The sequence below is a fragment of the Homo sapiens genome, chromosome 1 (assembly GCF_000001405.40).
Source record: "Homo sapiens chromosome 1, GRCh38.p14 Primary Assembly".
NCBI lineage: Eukaryota > Metazoa > Chordata > Mammalia > Primates > Hominidae > Homo > Homo sapiens.
In genome coordinates, this window is record NC_000001.11 from 36,915,589 (window position 1) to 36,937,983 (window position 22,395).

The window sequence follows — 22,395 nt, forward strand, 5'->3', positions numbered from 1 at the left end:
GAGGGACCTGGTGGGAGGTAATTGAATCATGGGGGCAGGTCTTTCCCGTGCTGTTTTCATGGTTGTGAATAAGTCTCACGAGATCTGATGGTTTTAATAAAGGGGAGTTTCCCTGAACAAGCTCTCTTCTCTTGTTTGCCACCATGTAAGACATGCCTTTCACCTTCCATCATGATTGTGAGGGCTCCCAGCCACATGGAACTGTAAGTGCATTAAACGTCTTTCTTCTGTAAATTGCCCAGTCTTGGGTATGTCTTTATTGGCAACATGAAAATGGGCTAATTCAGTAAATTGGTACTGGGAGTGGTACGTTGCTGAAAAGATACCTGAAAATGTGGAAGCGACTTTGGAACTGGGTAACGGGCAGAGGTTGGAAAAATTTGGAGGGCTCAGAAGAAGACAGGAAAATGTGGGAAGTTTGGAATTGCCTAGAGACTTGTTGAATGGCTTCAACCAAAATGCTGATAATGATATCGTCAATGAAATTCAGGCTGATGTGATCTCAGATGGAGATGAGGAACTTGTTGGAAACTGGAGCAAAGCTGACTTGCTATGTTTTAGCAAAGAGACTGGCAGCATTTTGCCCCTGCCCTACAGACTTGTGGAACTTTGAGCTTGAGAGAGATGATTTAGTGTATCTGGTGGAAAAAGTTTCTAAGCTGCAAAGCATTCAAAAGGTGACTTGGGTGCTGTTAAAGGCACTGATTTTTAAAAAGGAAACAGAGTATAAAAGTTTGGAAAATTTGCAGCCTGACAACATGATGGAAAAGAAAAACCCATTTTCTGAGGAGAAATTCAAGCCAACTGCAGAAACTTGCATAAGTAATGAGGAGCCTAATGTTAATCCCCAAGACAATGGGGAAAATGTCTCCAGGGAATATCAGAGGTCTTCATGGCAGCCCCTCACATCACAGGCATGGAGACCTAGGAGAAAAATGGTTTTGTGGGCCGGGCTCAGGGTTCCAGTGCTGCATGCAGTCTAGGGACTTGGTGCCCTGTGTCCCAGCCACTCCAGCAGTGACTAAAAGGGGACAAGTTACACCTCGGGCTGTTGCTTCAACGGGTGGAAGCCCCAAGCCTCAGCAGCTTCCATGTGGTGTTGAGCCTGCAGGTGCCCAAAAGTCAAGAATTGAGGTTTGGGAGCCTCTGCCTAGATTTCAGAGGATGTATGGAAACACCTGGATGCCCAGACAAAAGTTTGCTGCAGGGGTGGGGCCCTCATGGAGAACCTCTGCTAGGGTAGCGCAGAAGGGAAATGTGGGGTTGGAGCCCCCATGCAGAGTCTCTATTGGGGCACCACCTAGTGGAGCTATGAGAAGAGGGCCACCATTCTCCAGACCCCAGAATGGTAGATCCACTGACAGCCTGCACTGTGCATCTGGAAAAACCACAGACACTCAATGCTGACCCATGAAAGCAGCCAAGATAGGGACTATTCCCTGTAAAGCCTCAGGGGTGGAGCTGCCAACGACCATGGGAACTTACCTCTTGCATCAGTGTGATCTGTCCAGTGAGGCATGGAGTCAAAGGAGATCATTTTGGAGCTTTAAGATTTGAGTGCCCTGCTGGATTTCAGACTTGCATGGGGCCTGTAGCCTCCTTTTTTTAAGCCAATTTCTCCCATTTGAAATGGCTGTATTTATCGAATGCCTGTAATGCCATTTTATCGAGGAAGTAACTAACTTGTTCTTGATTTTACTGGCTCATAGGTGGAAGGGACTTGCCTTGTCTCAGATGAGACTTTGAACTGTGGACTTTTGAGCTAATGCTGAAATCAGTTAAAACTTTGGGGGACTGTTGGGAAGGCATCGGTTTTGAAATGTGAGGACATGAGATTTGGGAGGGGCCAGGGGTGGCATGATATGGTTTGGCTGTGTCCCCATCCAAATCTCATCTTGAATTCCCACGTGTTGTGGGAGGGACCCACTGAGAGGTAATTGAATCATGGGGGCAGGTATTTCTTGTGCTGTTCTCATGATAGTGAATAAGTCTCACGAGATTTAATAAGGAGGAGTTTCCCTGCACAAGCTCTCTTCTCTTGTCTGCCACCACGTGAGATGTGCCTTTCAACTTCTGCCATGATTGTAAAGCCTTCCAGCCACATGGAACTGTAAGTCCATTAAACCTCTTTCTTTTGCAAATTGCCCAGTCTCAGGTATGTTTTTATCAGCAGCTTGAAAACGGACTAATACAGGGAGGTTGAAGAGGACACCACAGGAAAATGTCATTCAGGCCTTTTAAGCAGTGGGGAGAGATTCCTTATAGGAGCATCCAGAGCAGAAAGCTAAGCTGCTCTTGTCAAAAGCCAGAAGGACTCATACCCCCACCCCCAGTCACAGCCACTCAGAAACTCCAAGGAGGTTTATAAGGGGAGGCCAGCAGCTGCATTTGCAGAACTGGAGCAAAGTTGCAATCTCAAAATTTGCATGGGCTGTCAGCAGCCATGGAGAAGAGAAGTAGCTTGAATTTTAAAAATATAGGTTTAAAGACACTGTACTCCTCTAAACCCTGCACTTTGAACAATGCAAAGACAGGACTTTCTGTGTAACCTTCTGGTGTTAGTTAGCAGGGGAACCCAAAGCAGCTCTGAAGTCATAAAAACAAGAAGTATCACTAACACCTATAGAACCTATGTTCCAAGCCTTTCCCTTCATTATCTCATTTAATCCTCACAGCAACCCTAGCAGGTAGATTCTGATATCATTCTCCTTTTTCATATATCAGGACCCCACCTACCTTTCTGCCCTATGTCCCTTTAACCTTCTTATGCAGTGTGCATTTTTGCTGTATCAGACAGCCCCTCAGCAAGCCCATAAACTGCCACATCTTTGCCCATGTCTTTGCTCATGACATTACATTTATTATTAATGGCGACAAAGTATCTGATCCCTTCTCGTGCATCAGGTAGTGTGCCAAATGCTTTATGAACATCATCTGGTTTAATCTCTGACACACCCCTAAATATTAATATTAGATTCCCACTGTATGACAGATGAAGAAACTGAGGTTCAGACAGAGTCGTAACCTCCCTATGGTTCATACCTTGCAGCCAGGTGTGTCCAGCTGTGTCCTCCCCCAGACAATGCCAGTTGGTTTCATCTTTCATTCAGCATTTGCCCTGTCACCATTTCCACGTCTGTCTCCCACCTAGATTGTGTGACCTTCAAGAGATGTGCTGCCTAGTCTTGCACAGTGCCTGGAAACTGAGCCAGTGGGAATAAACCCCACATTCTTGGCCCTGTGTGAGCAGCCCTCTGACCTCTCTGAGCAGCCCTTCTCTCATTCATTCATTCACTCATTCATTCATTCAATTACTATTCATCGAACACCAATGACAGGCCAAGGACTGTTCCAGGCACTGGAGATACAGCGCTGAACTAAGCAAACATGCTCCCTGCCTTTAGGGCACCAACCTTGCTTTGATAAAAGCTATGAAGAGACCTATGAAGGGTGAGATGATGAGGAGCCCATAGAGGGGACTGTTTTTATGGCTTTCCCAAGGGAGGTTCAATGCAGCCAATGTCCACTGGTGCCTTCTCAGTGCTGGGGTAGAAAAATGGGTAAGGGCCAGTCCTTGCCTTGGTTTGTTCACAAACTGAAGAAGGAAAGTGTCAAATGGAGAAATAACCAACAATCAGGGTGATGAGTGCTCTACTGTGATAAACTCAGTGTTCAAGGGGAAGAAAATGGCCTGGAAGAATCCCAGAAGGCCTCTCAGAGGAAGTGATATTTGGGCTGGGCTTTTTTAAAATTTTATTTTATTTTATTTTATTTTATTTTATTTTATTTATTATTATTATACTTTAAGTTTTAGGGTACATGTGCACAATGTGCAGGTTAGTTACATATGTATACATGTGCCATGCTGGTGCGCTGCTTTAAAGAGTGAGCAGAGGAAGAGTAAAAGCACCTGACATGCAGAGGGAGCAGCTGGAGCAGCAGGAACGAGCCTGCTGGTTTTGGCGAACAGGCAGGAGTCAGGCATGGTCATGCCTGGCTAAGTCACACCCTGCCAGCCATCTCCTTCCAGGTATCAGTTTTTCTCACTCTCTGTCTCAGAACAGAAATGCTGCCTCAAGGAACTGCTGCTCCCATCTCCAGCACTGCTGTGCCCGGCTGTCAGTGGACACATGGTGATGGCACCTCCACTGTGTCTCCCACAGTGCTGGCTCTGCCAGTGAGCCCTGCAGTGGAGGACTGGAGAGTTTTGTAGGAGAACTCAGTGCCCATGGCCCCTGGGCCCTACCCGTGGCGGGTGCATATCCTCATCTTCAGGAGAGAGGTGCATGGTGTGGGGGAAGAGGAAGATGCTCCTCCTGCCTGGAGAGCCAGCTCCATCCCTGCCATCAGCAGATGCATGCAAGCTGCAGCTGCGGATGCTCACTGGATGCAGTATGGCTCCCGGTTGCCAAAAGCAAAGTGTGTGTCCCACCCCAGGCTCAGCTCTGCCAAGGGCCAAGGACCACGGCTGAGAAGAAATGGCATGGAATTAAGGAGCTGTAGCAGACTGACCCCTGAAACTGGTCTGTCCTGAAGCTGGTCGGCCTTGGTTCTGTGAGCTCATCTTGCCCTGTCTGGCTCACTTATCTAATGCCTCTTCTCTAGAGGGACCAGAGTCTAGTGACCTGGAACCAGACTATTGTGGTGCAGTTCTTGTGCCAGCTCAGAAACTAACTAGCTGTTACTCAACCCCTCTGCCTGTCAGTTTTTCCATCTGTGAAATGGGAATTTTGCCTCCCAGGGCTGCTGGACAGGTTAGAGGCTGATGCACAAGAATCCTTTGGCCCAGGGCCTGGGTGTGCCTTACCTGCTCCAGATCCCCCCTCCCTGCTGCTCTCTGCCTGAGGCCCAGGGTAAAGCCTGATCCAGAATTTACCATCCCGGGACCCCCAGAAGCCACCGTCTGCTGTTTGGGGTTGGATTTTGCACCTCCCACCAAGCCCTGGGTCTGTCTGTTCAGCACCTGCTTCCCATGCCCCATATCTCATTGGCTCTGGCCTCTTGTGTCCACCTGAAGACCCCTACAGTTACTGTTGGCCACCTCCCCCATGCACCAGCTCCTGTGCTCCAGCCCTGTTCTCTGAGGAGGATGAGCCCAGGCTGGCCTCCAAGGCCTCCGTGCCCCTCCAGAAGGGAGCTGTGGAGGCCCCAGTGCCATTCCCCACACCCACACCTGAGTTTCACTCCAGCCAAGGCCCTCACACTGCTTTCCTGATAATGGTTGGGGGAGTGAGCTGATGGGCAAAAAGAGGCTCCATTTCTCTCTGGGACCAATTTGTGAGTTTTCAGCAGCAGCTCTCACTCTCAGTTTCTGCCTCATCCCTGCATGCCTGCTGCCTCCCGCCCCCTCCATGCATACTGGCTGTTAGGATTCTGGAGGAGGCCGAAGAGGTGGGAATCACCCTCTGCTGGGAAGCCAGCATGGAAAGCAAGTGCCCATCTGGAGGTGGAGAGTGGGCATGGCGGGGCAGCCTCCAGAGGGCTGGGAGGGCCAGAGAGAGGGCAAGTCCTGTGGGTGGACACGGATGCCGAAATCTCCTCCTCTGCCATCCTTTGCTTTTGAAAAGAGGCAATAAAGCCTAGTGGTTAGGAGCATGGCTTGGAGTTAGATGAAACAGGGTTTGAAGCACAGCTCTGGCCCTGCTAGCTGATGACAGGATGGTGGAGAGGCCAACCAAGTAGGCTCCGCAGAGGTTCAGATCCCAGCTCCTCTGCCACCTACCAGCTGCATTTGACCTCAGACACACAAGCTCCATGTGCCTTACTCCATGTCCTTACTACAGATCTGGGGGATGATCTTGTTAGCACATGATCATTCTCAAATACTACTGAAGGATGATTATGATGGTCTGCGTGACCTTTAACACTGCTTAACCTCTGAACGATATCTCGATTCACAGGGTTCCATGAGGATCGGGTGAGATGCTGCACACACAGCCCTCAGAGATAGCGGGGTACGTAAAGAGCTCTTGATAAATGGCAGCTAGTGCTATTTTTATTACCATATTTCATTGATTTCAAATCACACTTTTTTTTTTCACATTTTAACATCCCTGAAATTGAGATGGGTCTTGCAGTAGATGATAAGAAAGCACTGTGTCATAGTATAATGGGTGGCATTTTTTTTCTTTCTTAGGGAAGTACATAAAATTATGTATATTACTGTCGATGTGTCTTAGATTTTATGAAATCAAAGCAGACCAAGGCAGGAGAAGGAGTTTCCACTGAGGACCTGGCCCTGCTTTGTCCTGAGGGTGTCTCACCTGCCCTGCTCCTATTGTAGGACAAATCCCTCGGGTCACCTGGGGTCCAGTGGCTCCTTCCCTCCCACCTCTCTCCTTTCCCCAGGAGTGAGCTCTCAATGTTCTCCCAGACAGGAATGCTGGGAGCCCTTAGAGAGGCATTTGTTTTGCTTTTATGCTGCTCATCAGGGCCCCACAGAGGGGTAGGCCCCTATGACCACAGCACCAGGCTGAGAGGTGGGTGTTGGGCAGAGTGCACACTGGGATCCAGTTCCTGTCGTGCCACTAAGAGGGTGCACAGTGGCTTTGCACCAGTGACCTCCAGAGCTACGGGAAAATGGGACACAGAGCTGAGTGGGTGGACATCAGTCCCAGAGGTTCAGGCTCAGCAGTGAGAGAGGCCACCCTGAACTCTGGGTGCCTCGTGGTTCCTGAGGAAGGAGGAGAACAATGAGAACCCCAGGAAAGCCACAATGTAGGGGAGGTCAGGCGGTGGGTTCTGCCCTGTGGCAGGTACCACCCGCCCCCTTAAGCAGCATCCCCAAGCTCCTGGAAGTTCTGCTGCTGCCTCAGCTGCTTCAACTCCCTCCCTGGGGAACCCCCTCCCTGAACTCCCCATGAGCCAGCATCTAAATGGTTAATGCCTGGCCATACAGGGGGCTTTACTGGCTGCCACCCTTCCCCTCAGGACTCGTGGTTACATATGCAGAATATCACCCTTCACTCCCCCAAGGTGATCCAGATGTTTACCAGGAATCACTGGGATTGGTCCCCAAGACAGGGGGCCATGCGCTTATTTATCAAGGAAGAAAACCTTCCTATGTTGAGTATCCACTCTATGCCTGTGCTTGGACTTCACGTAGACTTTCTCCCTGAATCCTCAAAATATCCAAGAGGAGGATGAGGAAACAGGTTCCGGGAGGTGCGGCTGCTTGCTCAGGGCTCAGATCTGTCTGCTGCGACTCCCTTCTCTCACAGCTCCCTCCACTCCCTAAACCCCTGAGCAGGGATCCAGCCTCTCCTGCAACCCAGAATCCAACAATAAAAGCAATGATCAAAGGCAAAGGCAGGAGATGGCCCTTGTCTGGAGCCTGGGGTAAAGGGAGGCTGTATTGCAGGGTTGCAGCCTGGGAGCCCACACCAGGCTGGCCAGCGGCACCCCCAGTGCTCACCCTTGGTCTGCAAAGCCATTAAATATGCAGAATCTCATCTTGTTCCTGGGAAGCCGAGGGCTCTGAGTCACAGGAGGTGACATTGCTCTCCAACAGGTAAGTTGTTCAACAGATGGGCAGTCGAGTGGCAAAGAAATACATTATTAATGTTTCTGGTTAAATTAACTGATTAAAACCACCCTAGGTAAAAATGTACGTATCAGCGCTTTGCCCACAGCAAATGAGGAATTAATGGAATATGGCTGTGTCTTTGTAATGAAACACAGAGGCTCTCTGGAAAGGTTCGCTCTCTTCAGAGGCAGCAGCAGGGGGTAGAGGGGTGGGAGGCCTAATCCATCTGTTAAAGGGACCTCTACTGATTGGAACAGGGAAAGGGCAGGGAAGAGACACCCAAGGGGGCATCCCCAGGTCTGACTGGAGACCCTAGAAATCTGACATTTTGACCCCTAATTTGCTGGAGCCAAATTTTGCAGTGGGGGCTTAAGGCAGAAGCAGCAGGCCACAAATGGGGTGGGTGGGTGAGGTGGACACCACTGCATGGGAATGAGGATCATGGAATGCTGGCCCTAGCTCTATCCTTGCAGACTTTATGCAAGCTGACTTCCTGGCAGGGCCTCAGTTTCCTCACTAGTAAATTGGAGAGGTGAATGAAACACTCTTCCGTGCTCTCTCCCAACTCCTTGTCTCACATCATAGGCTTCTAGGATAAATCCTAGTGTTTACCCTGTCCTTATTCTCATCCCATAACCTAGTGAGAAGCTGAACCCCATCGGGGGTGTATCCAGAGATCACCTCCATTGCATGGCTTTTGGGAAACACCTGTTCTAACTCAAGTCCCAAAGGCACTCTCCTATGTGTCTATCTGGTTGGCTGTAAACACATGCATGTACACACACATGCACTGGCTGACCCACACATGCACACACCTGCATTCAAGGGCCCACACATACAAGCAAGCTTGCACCAAGACACATACATCCCAGAGCTCTACACATGAGTGCACACATGTGTACACACAGCTGCATAGAAAGTGAAGTCCTGTTGTGCAAGGGCAGGAGGATGTCAGACACATTTCAGAGACAGCGGTGGGGCTAAGGGGCAGGGAGGGCACTGCCAGGGCAGAGGATCAAGGGCCAGTTTTTTAATCCACAAAATCGGTTTTGTGCCAGGGTTTCAGGAACTCCCAGAGGCTATGACCCAATTCGAGCAAGACTGAAGTTTTGCATAAATTAACCAGGTAATCGCATTTCCACTAGGGTTTCCCTTGATGCAGAGCCCTGGAGTGGCTGGAGTCCCACAACCCCAGTCATGGCTTCATCGGGTGCAACTGGACGAAAGCAGGGCCTGGTGCTGTGCAATTTTGGCATCCTCCGCCCCGCCTCCCTAGTGATGCGTTGGGAGCTCTCCAAGGTGCTGATGGCTGAGGGTAGGGAGAGATTAGCTAAGAGAAGTTGTTTTTCTCCGCTGCTTACAGGCTGGCTGTGGAGAGGGGAGGGGGAGTGGGTTGGGTGCTGAGCCCCTATCACACACACAGTCGCTGTTGCTGCTGGGTACCCGGTTGGGGGAGTAGGAGGGAGGCACAGCCAGAGCCTCCTAATGCCTCCCAGCCTGTGAGGAGGGCCACGAAGGGGTCAGCGCTGGCCTTGCAGTATCATTAGCTGTTTACCCTGGGAAAGTTCACACTTCCAGAGGCCGTGCTCAAGCTGTCAGAAACACTGCACGGCAGTGCTGGCAGCTCTGCCAACTGTGCTCCCCAGGGCCCAGCAAAGCAAATATTTAGCAAACGCCTGGCTCTTGAGCACACGTGCACACACCTTCTCGCAGGGGACACAGCATGCCAACACATGGATACAAACATCTGCACAGACTTACTCTCAACACCCACAGAGACCCAGACACACACAGACATGCACACGAAAACCCACACTCTCAGGATAATGGAATCATGTGATATGTATCAGGCATCTACTATGTGAAAGGCAGTATTTACAAATGGTGAATATGCATTATTAAATCTAATGCTCCTGACAACCCAAAATGGTAGACAGTATCATGCACCCATTATTCAGAGGATAACAAATGAAGCTCCAGCAGGAAGATTCCACAGCTAGAGCTCTTACCATTCACTACCCTGACATACATTCACCCACCCAAAGGCAGTACACTTAGATACACACTCACAAACATGGACATGCTAGCACACAGAGGCAAACTTGAACTCACACATGTGAATATTCACAGAAACATACCGGAATACACACATGTGCAGACACACACGGCACACACACATTGCACAACCAAACCCACAACAGCATACTCCGTGCACATCCCTCCTGGCAGAAGTACTCTGTCCCAGCCCCCAGGGGCCTAGATACAATGCCCCAGTGAGCCAGTTCGTGCCCTCGGAGCCTTTCCCCTGAAAGCTGCCCAGCTTCTGGTCAGGCCGCCTGGTTGATGTTGATAACAGCATTGGCAGCCACCAGGAGAGAGTGAGCTTTGATCAGGAGCAAGTCCAGATGGTGGCGGTAAGCCCCAGATGTTGTGTAGAAACAGACAAGCCTGCTGAAACCAAGAACTTGTCTCTGGCCTGGCCTTGCAGTGTGGCCCTCCCAGGGCCTGGGGCTCTGCTGGTAGTGCAGCCAGTGTGGCCACTGCCACAGGCCGAGCATGGCACAAGAGCCTGGCAACAGAAAAAGAAAGCTCAGCTCTGAGGTCCAGATTTCTCCAGAGCTCTGAGCAGCAAAAGGCCATTTGGAATGTCTGGGTCCCTGCATCCTTGGGGAGGCAAGGGTGCTCAGTGCTGGTGTAGTGGGAGCGTGGCTAAGGAACCTTGAACATTACCAATTATCTTGGTCCCCACTGGCCTGGTCCACTTGGGGACCTGGGCCTGACCTGTAGGCCCCAAGCCTGAGTGCTCTTCCCTGAAAGTCATCACTCACTAATTCACCAGATTTCTACTCACTGATTTCCAAGGTTGATGCTCTAGATCAACGCCTCACTAATTTTCAAGGTCATTGTTCACTAACTCCCAAGGTCACTGCATGATGATTTTGGTAGTCATTGGCCAGTGGTCATCAGGACCATTTTCTTATGATCCCTGAGATCACAGTGATTCCTCAGTCCAGTCCCAAGAATTCTTAGGGCCCTGCTTCTACTTTAGGAAGGCTCGGCCCTACCCTTTGCCCCCTGCCCTAACTGTTTGTGGTCCTGACAAAAAGTTAGGCACTCCCTGAGCAGTGGTTAGCACCACAAAGCAGGTGGGAGGGCAGACAGGGGAAAGGCAATTGGGGAGGTGAAGTCCAAGGCTTCAGGTGAGCTTCACAGTTCATGAACAATGCATGTACTTGAGGTTCCTCCCTCCTTTCCTCTCCCTTCATCCCCTCTACGCCCCACTTTTTTTTTTTTTGAGATGGAGTCTCACCCTGTCACCCAGGCTGGAGTGCAACAGTATGATCTCGGCTCACTGCCACCTCTGCCTCCCGGGTTCAAGCGATTCTTCTGCCTCAGCCTCCTAAGTAGCTGGGACTACAGGCACACACCACTATGCCTGGCTAATTTTTGTATTTTTAGTAGAGATGGGCTTTCACCGTATTGGCCAGGCTGGTCTTGAACTCCTGACCTCGTGATCTGTCCGCCTTGGCCTCCCAAAGTGCTGGGATTACAGGTGTGAGCCACCGTGCCCGGCCCTACTCCCCACTTTTTAAGCAGGATCTCCCAGGACTGTTGAAAAGGAATCTGCTATTGTCTCCAGCACCAGGACCAGAACCATCCTACCTCTTAGGCAACCCACGTTCTTATAACCACTCCCACTTTTTGATCTCAAGAAAAGATATTATTAGCTCAACCTCTGATCAGGTAAGTAAGTGAGTCTGTAGAGTTCTCCTGGGGAATTTGCATGAAAAGAAGTAACATGCCAAAGAAGTGACCCTCTAATACTAGAATTTCAGACGTCATAGAGCTACACGGTGAAGCTCTTTTCTAAAGTTGAACAGACACATTTCCCTTCCCCAGGTACTGCCTGAATTGCTAAGCAAGGAAAACATACACAAATAAAGTGTCATGTCCTGACATTTGATAATTTAAATTGAGCGTCAAAGAGCATCTGCTTAATTACACATGGAGCTAAGTGTGAACACTAAGAGGGAGGCTCCAGGGGAGACAGAGACCCTCGTTCAAGAGCTCTAACAGTCATGCAGCCCAGGGTGTGCAGACAGTAAGATTTGTCTTCTGAGGTTAAAATAAAGCCCACGTTTCATTTTTGATGCAACCTAATTCTTCTCGTTTTCTCCATCTACCTCCAGAAGCTGGGGCCTTAAGTGGAAAAGATGCATTGAATAGCAAATGCAATTCAACAAATATTATGACATGCTGTTCACCACGAGCCCTAAATATTTAACTGTTCGACTTTATGGGCTTTTCATTTTGTTTTATTTTCTTTTTTGCCGGATGTGATGAATTTAGCACTAACAGGCCCCGTGTCAAGGAACTGCCAGTGTCCTAGTTTGCAAAATGAACAAAGTGAATTTCGTTCAGGTGTTTGTGACCTCCGTTCATTCAGGCCACACTCCATGTCGCCTTATCTTGGCTCTGCCCAGCTGGCTTTCTAGAAAAAAATATAAAAGTAAGATAGAGGGAAAAAAGAGGGAAAAGGGAGGCAAGAACGAAGAGGGTCAAAAAGCCTCTGTCGGCCAATTCATTTCTGTTTAATCCATCTCCGCGCTGCAGAAAGCTCCTTTGTGGTGGAGGAGACCAAAGGTCGGTAATAGATTTCAACAGGTTCCGAGAGGCTGTTGACTGCTTGGAGCTGAGTGGGAGAGTGTGAGGCTCCCCGAGAGGCAGGGGGAGAGATAATTGGAGACCCGGAGCCCCGGCTTGCCCTGTGGTTCCTGATTTCACGGATTTAAGAAGAAAAAAAGATTGTCTAGAATTCCGCCTCCGGAATTGTGTATGAGAGGGAAGGAGAGCAGAGGTGGGGGGTACCAGGCCTTGACTGGCCCTCCCTGGAGCTGCCGTCACGTGACCACTTGTCCTGCTCAAAGAGAGTGGGCTGGGAGGGAGGTTAGGAAGCCTCTGAGCCAGGCCTGTTGGCTGTGAACTGCCTCTGGAGAGCTGGGAAGGCCCTTGGGTCATCTCTGAGGCTCCTTTGAGGTAGCCACTAACTTGGAAATGGGGTGAGGAAGGGAAGAGGTGAGTGGAGGCAGGGACTGGAGAGGTAGACACTGAATTAAATTTACCAGCTCTATTCTGCAAAATCTCTCTGAGTGTGCGAGGTAGCTGTAGCAAGAAAAGGAACTCCTATAGCTGTGCTTTAGCCCACAGCTACCTCCACCCCAGATTTCCAGGCCTGAGGATGCCATATTACCACTTTCACCTTTCATCGTGGCTGCCCAGGTGAACAAAGGATGGTGTGACCTGGTATACCAGATTGTCTGAATCAAAGTGGCAATGGCAAGTGTTTGGGGTGGGGGTGGAAATTATGATGTCCTTAGCTTTGGAGTTATTCCCTGCCATGCAAAACCACTGTCTGACAACGCAGTGTTTAGAACAGCATTCTGCTTGCATGCATGTAGGTTCAGCTTAATGGTATGTCATTCCAACAGTAGGCTGAGCCAGGCCTGGCAATAAAGGGCCAAATGGCCACACCTTGCCTTGCAACCCTCCCTGGTTTCCCACAATCCAAGAATCCAGCCTAGACTTCAGCGTGGCAAAAGAAAAAAAAATCCCCCCAAACTTCTTCAGCCTCATTCTTTTGTATTCTCTGCTTTGGTCATATTAGGCCCCTCTTTGTCCCCAATTATGCAGTAGGAAAATGCTCAGATGGAGGTAAGATCAGGATGTTCTCAAGGAAGGAGAACTAGGGGCATCTTAGTCAGCCTTGGGGTACAGGTGTCAAGGAACATGTCCTGGAGGAGATAGCACCTGTGCTGAACCCTAAAGAATGGGTAATATACATAATGAGAATGACTCATGTTTATTGAACATTTATTATGTTACTTGAATCCCTTGACCTTGTGGAATCATAAAATCTTTCCTATGGGATAGGTACAGTTATTCTTAGTTTCGATTTACAGATGAGGAAACTGAGTCATAGAGGGGTGAAGAAACCTGCCCAAGGTCACCTAGCTTGTAAGGGATGAAGCTGGGCTTCAGAGTCAGGCATTACAACATCCAAGACCACACTCTAACCACTCTGCTAAACCCCATTCAGCTTTGAGCCTTTGAAGATGGAGACTGTATCTCCATCTTCGAAGGTGCTCATTGTGAGCACCAGGAGTATAGGAGTGAATCTATACTCCAGCAGAGAGGCATCTGTGAACATTGTAGAATAAATGGGTGAAGGTACTGATGGATGCATGAATAAATTTAGATATATTTTAGATATATTTTCAACCCCAATAGATCCTGGGGTTAACAAGCACATAAGATTATAGTACATTGGTAAAAATCAAATGTGCTATTTATCCCAGAACAGTAATTCCCAAACCACATTCCATAGGACATGAATTTCTGGAAATCTCAGGCACAAAGGGTGTCCATCATCATGTGGGTTTGAGAAACCCTGGGTTAAACAAAACTAAATAGCTTTCTTTATTTCAGGGATTTTCTAGTTTTTTTCCTCAGTGAATATCTCCTGGGGCCAGAGACCCAGCAAATAAAGTCTGGGAAGCACCATATTCGAGTCCCTGCCTTTGGAATTTCAGGGATGGTGTATTAGCTATTTATTGTTGTGTAACAAATTGTTCCAAAACTTGGTGACCTAAAACAACAATAAACATTATCTCACAAAGTTTCTTCATACAATTAGAAATTCAGAAGCAACTTCGTTGGATGGTTCTGGCTTAAGGTCTTGCAGGAGCTGCAGTCAAGATGTCAGCCTAGGCTGCAGGCTTTTGAAAGCTTGGCTGGAGCTGGAGCAACCACTTCCAGGATGGCTAACTCATGTGGCTGGCACAGTGGCGCTCGCTGCTGGCAGGAGGCCTCCATTCCTGACAGTCCATAGAGTTGTTTAAGTGTCTTCATGACATGCTTCCCAAGAATGAGTGATCTAGGAGAGCAAGGTGGAGGTGGCAATGTCTTTTATGACCTGGCATTAGGCGTCACAGCCTGTCAGTCCCATTATATTTTATTGGTCACACAGGATGACCCTAATACAATGTGGAAGAGGAATTATAAGGACACGAATACCAGGGGGAAGGATCAATGTGGGCCTTCTTGGAGGCTGGCTTTTGAGATTGGCCTTCTGGTTTCAGCTTCTGGAACTTGGTGATAGGTGTGTGCACCCTCTTCAGACCTGCAGGTGCACACAAACTTCATGTTGAATGACCTCAGCCACCATATTTCCCCAGTGGTGATTTGGTCTTTATACTCTGTTCTCATCAGCTGCCTCTCTTGACCTCTTCAATCCCTTGACCTTGTGGAATCATAAATCCTAAGTGTCAGAGCTGGAAACCACCCAGCCCAAACTCTAATTTTATAGATGAGAAAATGGAGGCCAATACAGGCAAAGGAATTGTCCAGCATCACCATGCCTTAGTTCTTGTGCTCTGGTCCATCACACATGCCTGATGAGACATGAATGTAAGTCTACTAGCCTGAAATTCCACATGGGGCATTACATCCCTACCCAAAGCCTTGAACTGTCCACAGGCCTGACCACAATGGGCCAAGGTAGGTGGACACCAGGCCAGGGATGGTGTGAGTGGTGCCTTTGGAGTGGGGTATGGGGGAAATATTACGGAATGGGCTCCTTATAGCCCCATTTGGAATAGTACCATTTCCCTGAGTGACTTTGTCACCACTATCCAAGGGAACAATAGGAACGAGGAGTTGTCTCCCTCAAAACCTGTATCTTGAGAGCTACCCTTATCTGCCAGCATGAGCTCAGCCAACGAAACAGGCAGTGGAACTAGCTACGCTTTTAGGTAGGAAAGCTGAGTGTATGCTCCTGAGATACCTGCTGACCCTATATCTCTGGCATAGCTTGGAGGTGCACAGCATAGTCTCAGGGACCATGTTCTTCTAGGTGCGGGGCCTGCCTTTCTGGTCACCATTGCAGCAGCTGATGGAGTCAAGCTCAGCAGAGTCTCCCCTTCACTCAGTCGGTTGGAACTAGAAAGTATTTATCACAAGTCTTCATACCAGCAAGTTCTTTCTCTGTAAAGTAAATTTGTCAAACTACTATGGGAGACCTGAGATGACTCTTAATAAAAGCAGGATAAACAGGGAAATTCAATAAGGAACATGACTGAATAGAAGTAGAAACATCTGCCTGCCCTTCCTACTGACATCAGCTCCCTCTCGGCCCAGCCTCCCCTGGAGAGAGGCACAAATGGGTCCTCATCACTCCAGGTCTCAGCCTAAACCCTGCCTCCTCAAAGAGCCTTCTCTGATCACTTTTTCTGAGGTTTCATCACTCTGTTATTTATTCTTCATTGTGAATCCTGTTTGTTTCCCTCCTCATCCTTAACACATTTTGTAATTATACATGTATTTATTTACTTGTTTGTTGTCTATATCCCCTAAAAGACTGCAAGTTTCATGAGGATATGGACAATGACTGTTTTATTTCCCCAGTCTGTATTGAGCGCCCAGCACAATGCTGGCATTCAATAAATGATTGTTCTCGCCTCAGTAGAAGAGTGTTTTTCTTTGCCATATGCCTGAGAGTGGAGACATCTGGAGGAGAGTCCATCTTCCTAATTTGGCATCAGGACTAGATGAGAGCTTCTCCAACCCACTCCCACAGAGCGGCGTGTGCAGCCCCTTCTGTCTGGGTCTCAATGCTGTGTCTCTGGCATCTGGCGAGGAGTTCTGTCTGCTCCCCAGCTGCCTGGTTGGGGCTGACTTTGTGACCCCTCTCTTGTCAGCCTCTGTTTCTCCAGAGGAAATTGTCCATCACATTTTTCTCCTTGCTGATCCTGGCTGGATCTTCCAGAGGACCCAGCTCTGCATCAACTCTTTAGCCAAGCCATTCCGTCCTCCTCATCCTGTCCTGCCCCCTATCTGACCTGAAGCTCACTGTGACGGCCTGGATTCATTACCCTCTCCCCTTCCTGGATAAACTTGTTCTATTGTTGTGGCTTCCTTGAGGGGCAACATCCCACAGATCTGCTGGCCTCTCCGCTTGTTTCTCCTTCCTTCTCTAGGGCAAGGCTGTGAATTCCGATGTTGACAATTTCCTGCTGATTGACCGTAACTCCAATTTGACTGATCTTAGTCATCATATGACTTCATTCGATGCTTGTTTTAATTCTTATCATGCTGTAGAGCTTCCAGGTGTAGAAAGCTGGCCCTTGGTTTTGGTTAGTGCCCAATCGTAGAAACCTGGTGAATGCCACTCCCAAGCATGCGACAGCCACAGTCCACTCTGGCCCCGTGGGACTTGGATGTGCCACAGTCCCCTCTTGTACCAGAGTAGGAGGTGTAGGAAACACCGAGCACTTCCAAGGTCATCCTTCGTTTCTTTGTTCATTGCTACCAGGGACACTGGAAGTTCTGCATCCTTCCCCTTCCGGGTTCAGAAGTGAAAGACCACAGAGGCAACACTCCCAGGGCCTTCCATTTCCAATGAAGGGTCCGCAGCCAAGATGACCACTTTTACAGCCAGTGGCACATCTTCTATTAAGAAGCTTCTTGGCTAAAATAAGATTGCTATTACTTTCCAAACTGCCACTTGGAATCTGTCCACTCTACCTCCTAAATTAACTTGATTTTCTTCTTCTTTCATTCTCTACATTTTTGAAGAGGATAGAGAGGCAGTTACACCTGGTTGCTGTCACAAGTGTATCTACAGTCAGTTCACCCCTGGAAACACCCTGAGGCTAGGTACTGCATCTATTTGCTTGCTGTAGTATCTCCAGCCCAGGGCCTGGCACATAAATCTATTTCAAATGCACGTACTGGAATAATGGAGGGAGGAAGAGGTCATGGAGAACCCCAAATCACTGCTAACGCTAATAACCAAAACATGCCGAATAACAGATTTAATGTGAACTGATTCTGTTACAATTGCCCAATATGTAGAACCACGTTTACCATTCATTCTGCAGTCTGTTACATTGTCTGTTTCTATCTGAGCTATCTTTTTTTTGTGAATAGAGAACAAAGCCTACACTAAAGCGGCTTGTCACTGAGCAAGCTGAACTCTCTGCTTTCTAAACAGTCTGGCAGGCTACACGGGCCAGGTGACTACGCCCAGCAGCTTCAGAGCCTTGATTCTGTGCCCCCCACCCCTGCCATTCCCCACCTCTCTGCCAAGTGACTTCACTTTGCTCAAGGTGTCAAACCTCAGTTCACACGCATTACAGCAAAGTCACTCGTGAAGGTGTTTTCATCAAGGTGCTCACCACTCCATGTGCTGCCTGAACCGACTGCTGATGGGGAGGGATGTTTTCATGCAGCCAGAGACATGAAGTAAACCTAATGGTAACTATGTAGTTTCAAACAGTTGGCATCTTTTTAAATAAAGATGTTATCTCTGATTGGTAATCAATTTGATTTCCCCCTCCACCATCACATCTGCTTTTCCTATTATTTTCCTTAGAATTATTTGTTTTCCTGTGGTTTACCTGCCAGCCTGTTAATCCACTCACCGACAACTGAGTGACTAGGTCATAATCAAAGGTACACTATCTCTAGTTGCTTTGGTTGGCTTGAGGCAGCGGAAGACATTCATGTGTCTTACACACTTTTTTCCAACATTACTTCCAAGTTCAAGGACAGCAGCAAGGTATGATAGAAGGCACACAAGGCTGAAAGTCAGATGCTGCTGTGTGACGGAGGTCATGTCCCTTCTCTATTTCTTCAGCTGGGTAGACCAGGTAAGTCCTGGGTGTGTGGCAGGAACCTCACTGCCCTCTCTTCGACCTTCTGCTTTTCCCCAGAGGAAGGAGAACTTCCACTTGAGCATCTCGCCCCCCACCACCTCATCTTTATGCCCCACTGTGGGATAAGGAATTGTGAATTTGCATGGTCAGAGACCACTGGACCACACTTACAGTGGGCAGGGATACTGTGTCTTAGAGACCAGGGCCTGAGCAGTAAGGTCACAAGGGGCTGCCCTCTACTCTCTCTTCCAATGTCTCTTCTGTCTGAGGGTGAGTGAGTAGGTGGGACAAGTCTTCCCTGAGGTCCTGGTAGCATTGGATGGCACAGGGTGGTAAGGACACAAGGCTCTTCCACTCTGGATTTTCTGGGTGAGAGTCTGTATCCAGTCTGTACAGCTGACCCGATCTCCTGGGCCTCCCTCCCTCTGGCTGGCATGCAGCCCAGACAGATGCCCAGACCTTTCTGCCTGCCTACTCTCCTGTGTGCAGACTCCCATGACATTGCTCTCTCTTCCTGGTCACCAAGCACTTTTCTGAATCTCATATTCCTTATGCTAAACCCGCAGTTCCTTCTGCCCTAGTCATGGTGATCTTGTTTCATTTCCTTAAACAAAGAACTCTTCACCAGCTCAGGGGTCCACAAGGCTGTCCCCTCTGGTGGGATGCTGTCTCATCCACTCTTCTCAGCCAACTCTTATCTCTCAGGTCTCAACTCAAATGTCACATCTTCAGATAAGCCTTTCCCGACCTCCCAGTCCTCAGTATTTTCCTTCATGACTCTTATTACAAATAGTAATTAGATGTGAAAACTGCAAAGCAGAGAGATCTCTCCCAGTGCCACGTTGCTGGGGCCTCGCTTATCCCTGTACTAAGGTGCACACACCTGCCAGACACAATGGAAACACATTTAATGTGGGAAGATGGAGCAGGGGAGTTCAGCATACATCACCCAGCAAGATCATGCTAAATATCTCTTTGACATCTCTTTCCCCAAAGTTCCAATCCCAAGGCAACTGCCAGTTCTCTTCTCTTCTCTTTCATCTCTTTAGCCTCCCTCCTGGCTCCCCTCTCTGGCACCTATGTCTACTTTTCTTCTCCATATCTGGCACCTTTCCTTCCAGGCCTTGATTTCCACTTCCCTGTTGTATTTGGAGTAATTTAGCTCTTTCTTAGTTCTTCCAATCCCTTCCTCCCCATTGCCCACCAGCCAATCAAAGGATGTAAAAGGAGTAGGAGAGTAGTTAATAACTCTATTCTGTTACATGCACTTAGGTATACTTGTTCAGCAACTGTTGCCCCTACCATTTGTAAGTTTCATGACACTCACATGACCTCATGAATGTTTTATTCACCACTGTACACCCAGCACCCAGCACGGTGCCTGACACATAGTAGGGGTTCAATAAATATTGGCGGAATAAATGCATATCATGGTTCTCTAAGGCAACTCATTTTTTAATTTCAATTTAAACATCTGGGTCCCTGGATATGCAATCCTGGGTACCCATATACCCAGGTAGAAGGTCACCATAGACTGTGAACACATTGCCTGACCTTCTTAATATCCAAATACATGCATTAGCATCCAGAATTCTCCACCACATTTGGATTACCATTGTCCTATTCAGGCCGGGAGTCCTCTGAATCTGGGATAACTGGGGTCCTATGACCGCTCTGTATCTGGGGAAAGCAGCCTTCCCTTCTCCTCCCCTCCCCCATCTCTTCTCCCCACCCTGCCCCCGCACCCAGCAAAGATGAGAATGACTGACACAAGCATTAGAGATATGGAAACTTCCCTCCTGAATGATCTCACTAATGGTAAATTGATGGGATTGAATACATTCAAGTCGGAAATGATCCAAATATATGCTAATGAAGCTGAATATGCATTATTTAGACTAAAACAAACTAACTGCGAGTCAGGAAATAAAGTAGGTGAATTATTAGTTTGGCAACTCAAAGAATCGGAAAACTCAAGCACCATTCCAGAGACAGGCAGAGGCAGGCAGGAAAATGTGGTTAATGGATTCTAAACCAATTAATCGCAAATTGATGGTGCGCTTGAAGACTTGCCGCCCCGACTCCCTCAGATTGCTTTCTGAAATTTTGAAAAGAAGATGCTGTTGCCATGCACTTTTCTTGTCTTCCCTTCTTAAACATGCTGTCCTAGATACTCAAGTCTCAGGGAAAACAGAAAACTACAAACAAATCCCAGAAACAGGGAATGGGGCTATTTTGGCCACAGGGGGAGATAAATAACGCAAAGAGGAACTTCCCACCCCTTCTTTGTCAAAGAGCATCATCCTCAGACTGAAGAGTAAAGTGAGCCTTGATGGGAGGAAACTGAAGCCTGAGATGGGTGAAGAAAATACAAAAATATGCTTTGCTGGTCCAAGCTAGAATCATCCCCCCATCCTGGAGGAATCCCAACCCAGGGCAAATCAGGGGATGGCAAGGGGGCTCACTAATGGGTTTCATGAGGTGGAAGAGTCACTAGGAAGAGATGGAAAACAAGATGGCACGGTTTTCCAAAGATGGAGTCTAGAAATCCCAAAGCATTTGATGATAACCAAAGAAAATTCTCAGGTTCAATTCTTGAAAGGTTATAGTTTGCAAGATCTTAGGAAAGCAGGGAGTGATGAGTTAGAGCCAGTATGAGTTTGCCAGAAGCCAGATATTTGCTGAAAGGGCACCTCGGCTGATGAATGCTTTCCTGATCTTGCTACATAAAATAGCACTGTCTGTCCTGCCCCTGACCCACCCCATTCCCATTCTCCAGCTTTATTTACTCCCCGGCTTTATTAAAGCAGTTAACACCATCCAGCACTCACACACGTACTTGTTTATTTTCTTCTCCTCCCACGGGGATGTAAGCTTCATGAGGTCAGGGACTTTGTCTATTCCATCCTCTGCCAAGTGAGTCTGGCATGCTAGGGGCTGTTAAGTGAATGTGCGAACAAATGGAATGTCAGACTTTAACCTCATTTTTTTTTTTCTGATGGAACATTGGGATGAGAAGGTGAGGTAAATTCAGTAGATCTGGGATTTTATAAGAGAATTTAACTATCTCATGATGTTATTGTAGAAAAGATGAAGAATTGGGAGCTGGATACAACAACAGGTGCGGGGGGTAGGATCCCCGCCACCCACAGAGTGAATGATCACAGCCGGGTGGTCAATGGACACGCAGTGGAGGATATCGGGCTGTCCTCTCCACCAGTTTTCATGTTGGCTTAGCTGAAGATTCAGAAGACAGGGCCCTTCAAATTGTAGTGTGTGACACAGCCAGAAGGATGGCACTGTGGAGCAGGATGGAAGACCCTCAGCGAGCAGGAACAATGGGCTAACTCTGAAAAGATGAGCTGTCCCTGGAGTAAACTGAAGTCCTATCCTTGGAGCACAGAGTGGGATGGGGAGACACAGCATGGTGCCACGCCCTCGAGTGAACAACAAGCCCGGTGTGAATCAGCTTCCTAGATGGCTAAGGACAGCCACCACGTTCATGGAAGTGGGAAAGTTGAGAAGGGAGAAGGCAATCTCTTGTTGTACTCTGCATGCAAGGATGGAACTGGACTCAGTTCTGCAGTCTAAAATTTGATGATGGAAGCTATAATCAGCCTGTGAGCTATTTCTCATTACAGGATGACTATCTAAGACATCACAGATTTTCAGCCTGAGTTTATTGTGATTCAGTGAAACAGAAATTTCGGTGGAGAGAAACAACCCCAGAGATAAAGTCCCGTGCCTCACATGCCTAAATGATTACGGGCAGGGAGCAGCGGTGGAGCAGAGGTGACTAAGGTTTAGTTCCTGCCCTTGTGGAATTGACAATCTAGTTGAGGAAATAAGTAAGACTCAAAAGAAAAAAAAAGAAAATAAACGAACTCTTTGGAAACAGCCATTCCAATTGCGATTGCTTCAGGTTTATAATGAACAATCAAGTGTCCCATCAATTCGTAATAGTACAGGGACCACTACATCCATGAATTAAGCCAGTTGGAGGAAACTACCCTTATGTAGTCAACCTGGAGGGCTCTCACATAACTAATGGCCAAACTGCATGGAGTGGTCTCTGCTGGACAGCTCAGCCTTCTGCTAACCTAATCTGCTAGTGTACATGCCAAGCCTTTATACATTCTTTTGGTTAATCAATAA

The 22,395-nt window shown here is 48.1% G+C and overlaps 1 protein-coding gene across 1 annotated transcript in view, besides 2 other annotated features; it reads right to left on the reverse strand.

Moving 5' to 3' along the window:
- Window positions 1-22,395, reverse strand: part of GRIK3 (glutamate ionotropic receptor kainate type subunit 3) — a 238,989-nt gene that overhangs the window by 120,062 nt on the left and 96,532 nt on the right. The gene's annotated exons all lie outside the window — the stretch shown is intronic.
- Window positions 8,587-9,087: an enhancer, noted in NCBI's record as "H3K4me1 hESC enhancer chr1:37389776-37390276 (GRCh37/hg19 assembly coordinates)". NCBI's record gives its function as "activates a minimal SCP1, AML or CMV promoter by ChIP-STARR-seq in naive H9 embryonic stem cells {active_cell/tissue: H9 hESC(naive)}" and the evidence as "EXISTENCE:reporter gene assay evidence [ECO:0000049][PMID:30033119]".
- Window positions 8,717-8,917: a silencer, noted in NCBI's record as "peak178 fragment used in MPRA reporter construct". NCBI's record gives its function as "represses an SCP1 promoter by STARR-seq MPRAs in K562 erythroleukemia cells {active_cell/tissue: K562}" and the evidence as "EXISTENCE:reporter gene assay evidence [ECO:0000049][PMID:32103011]".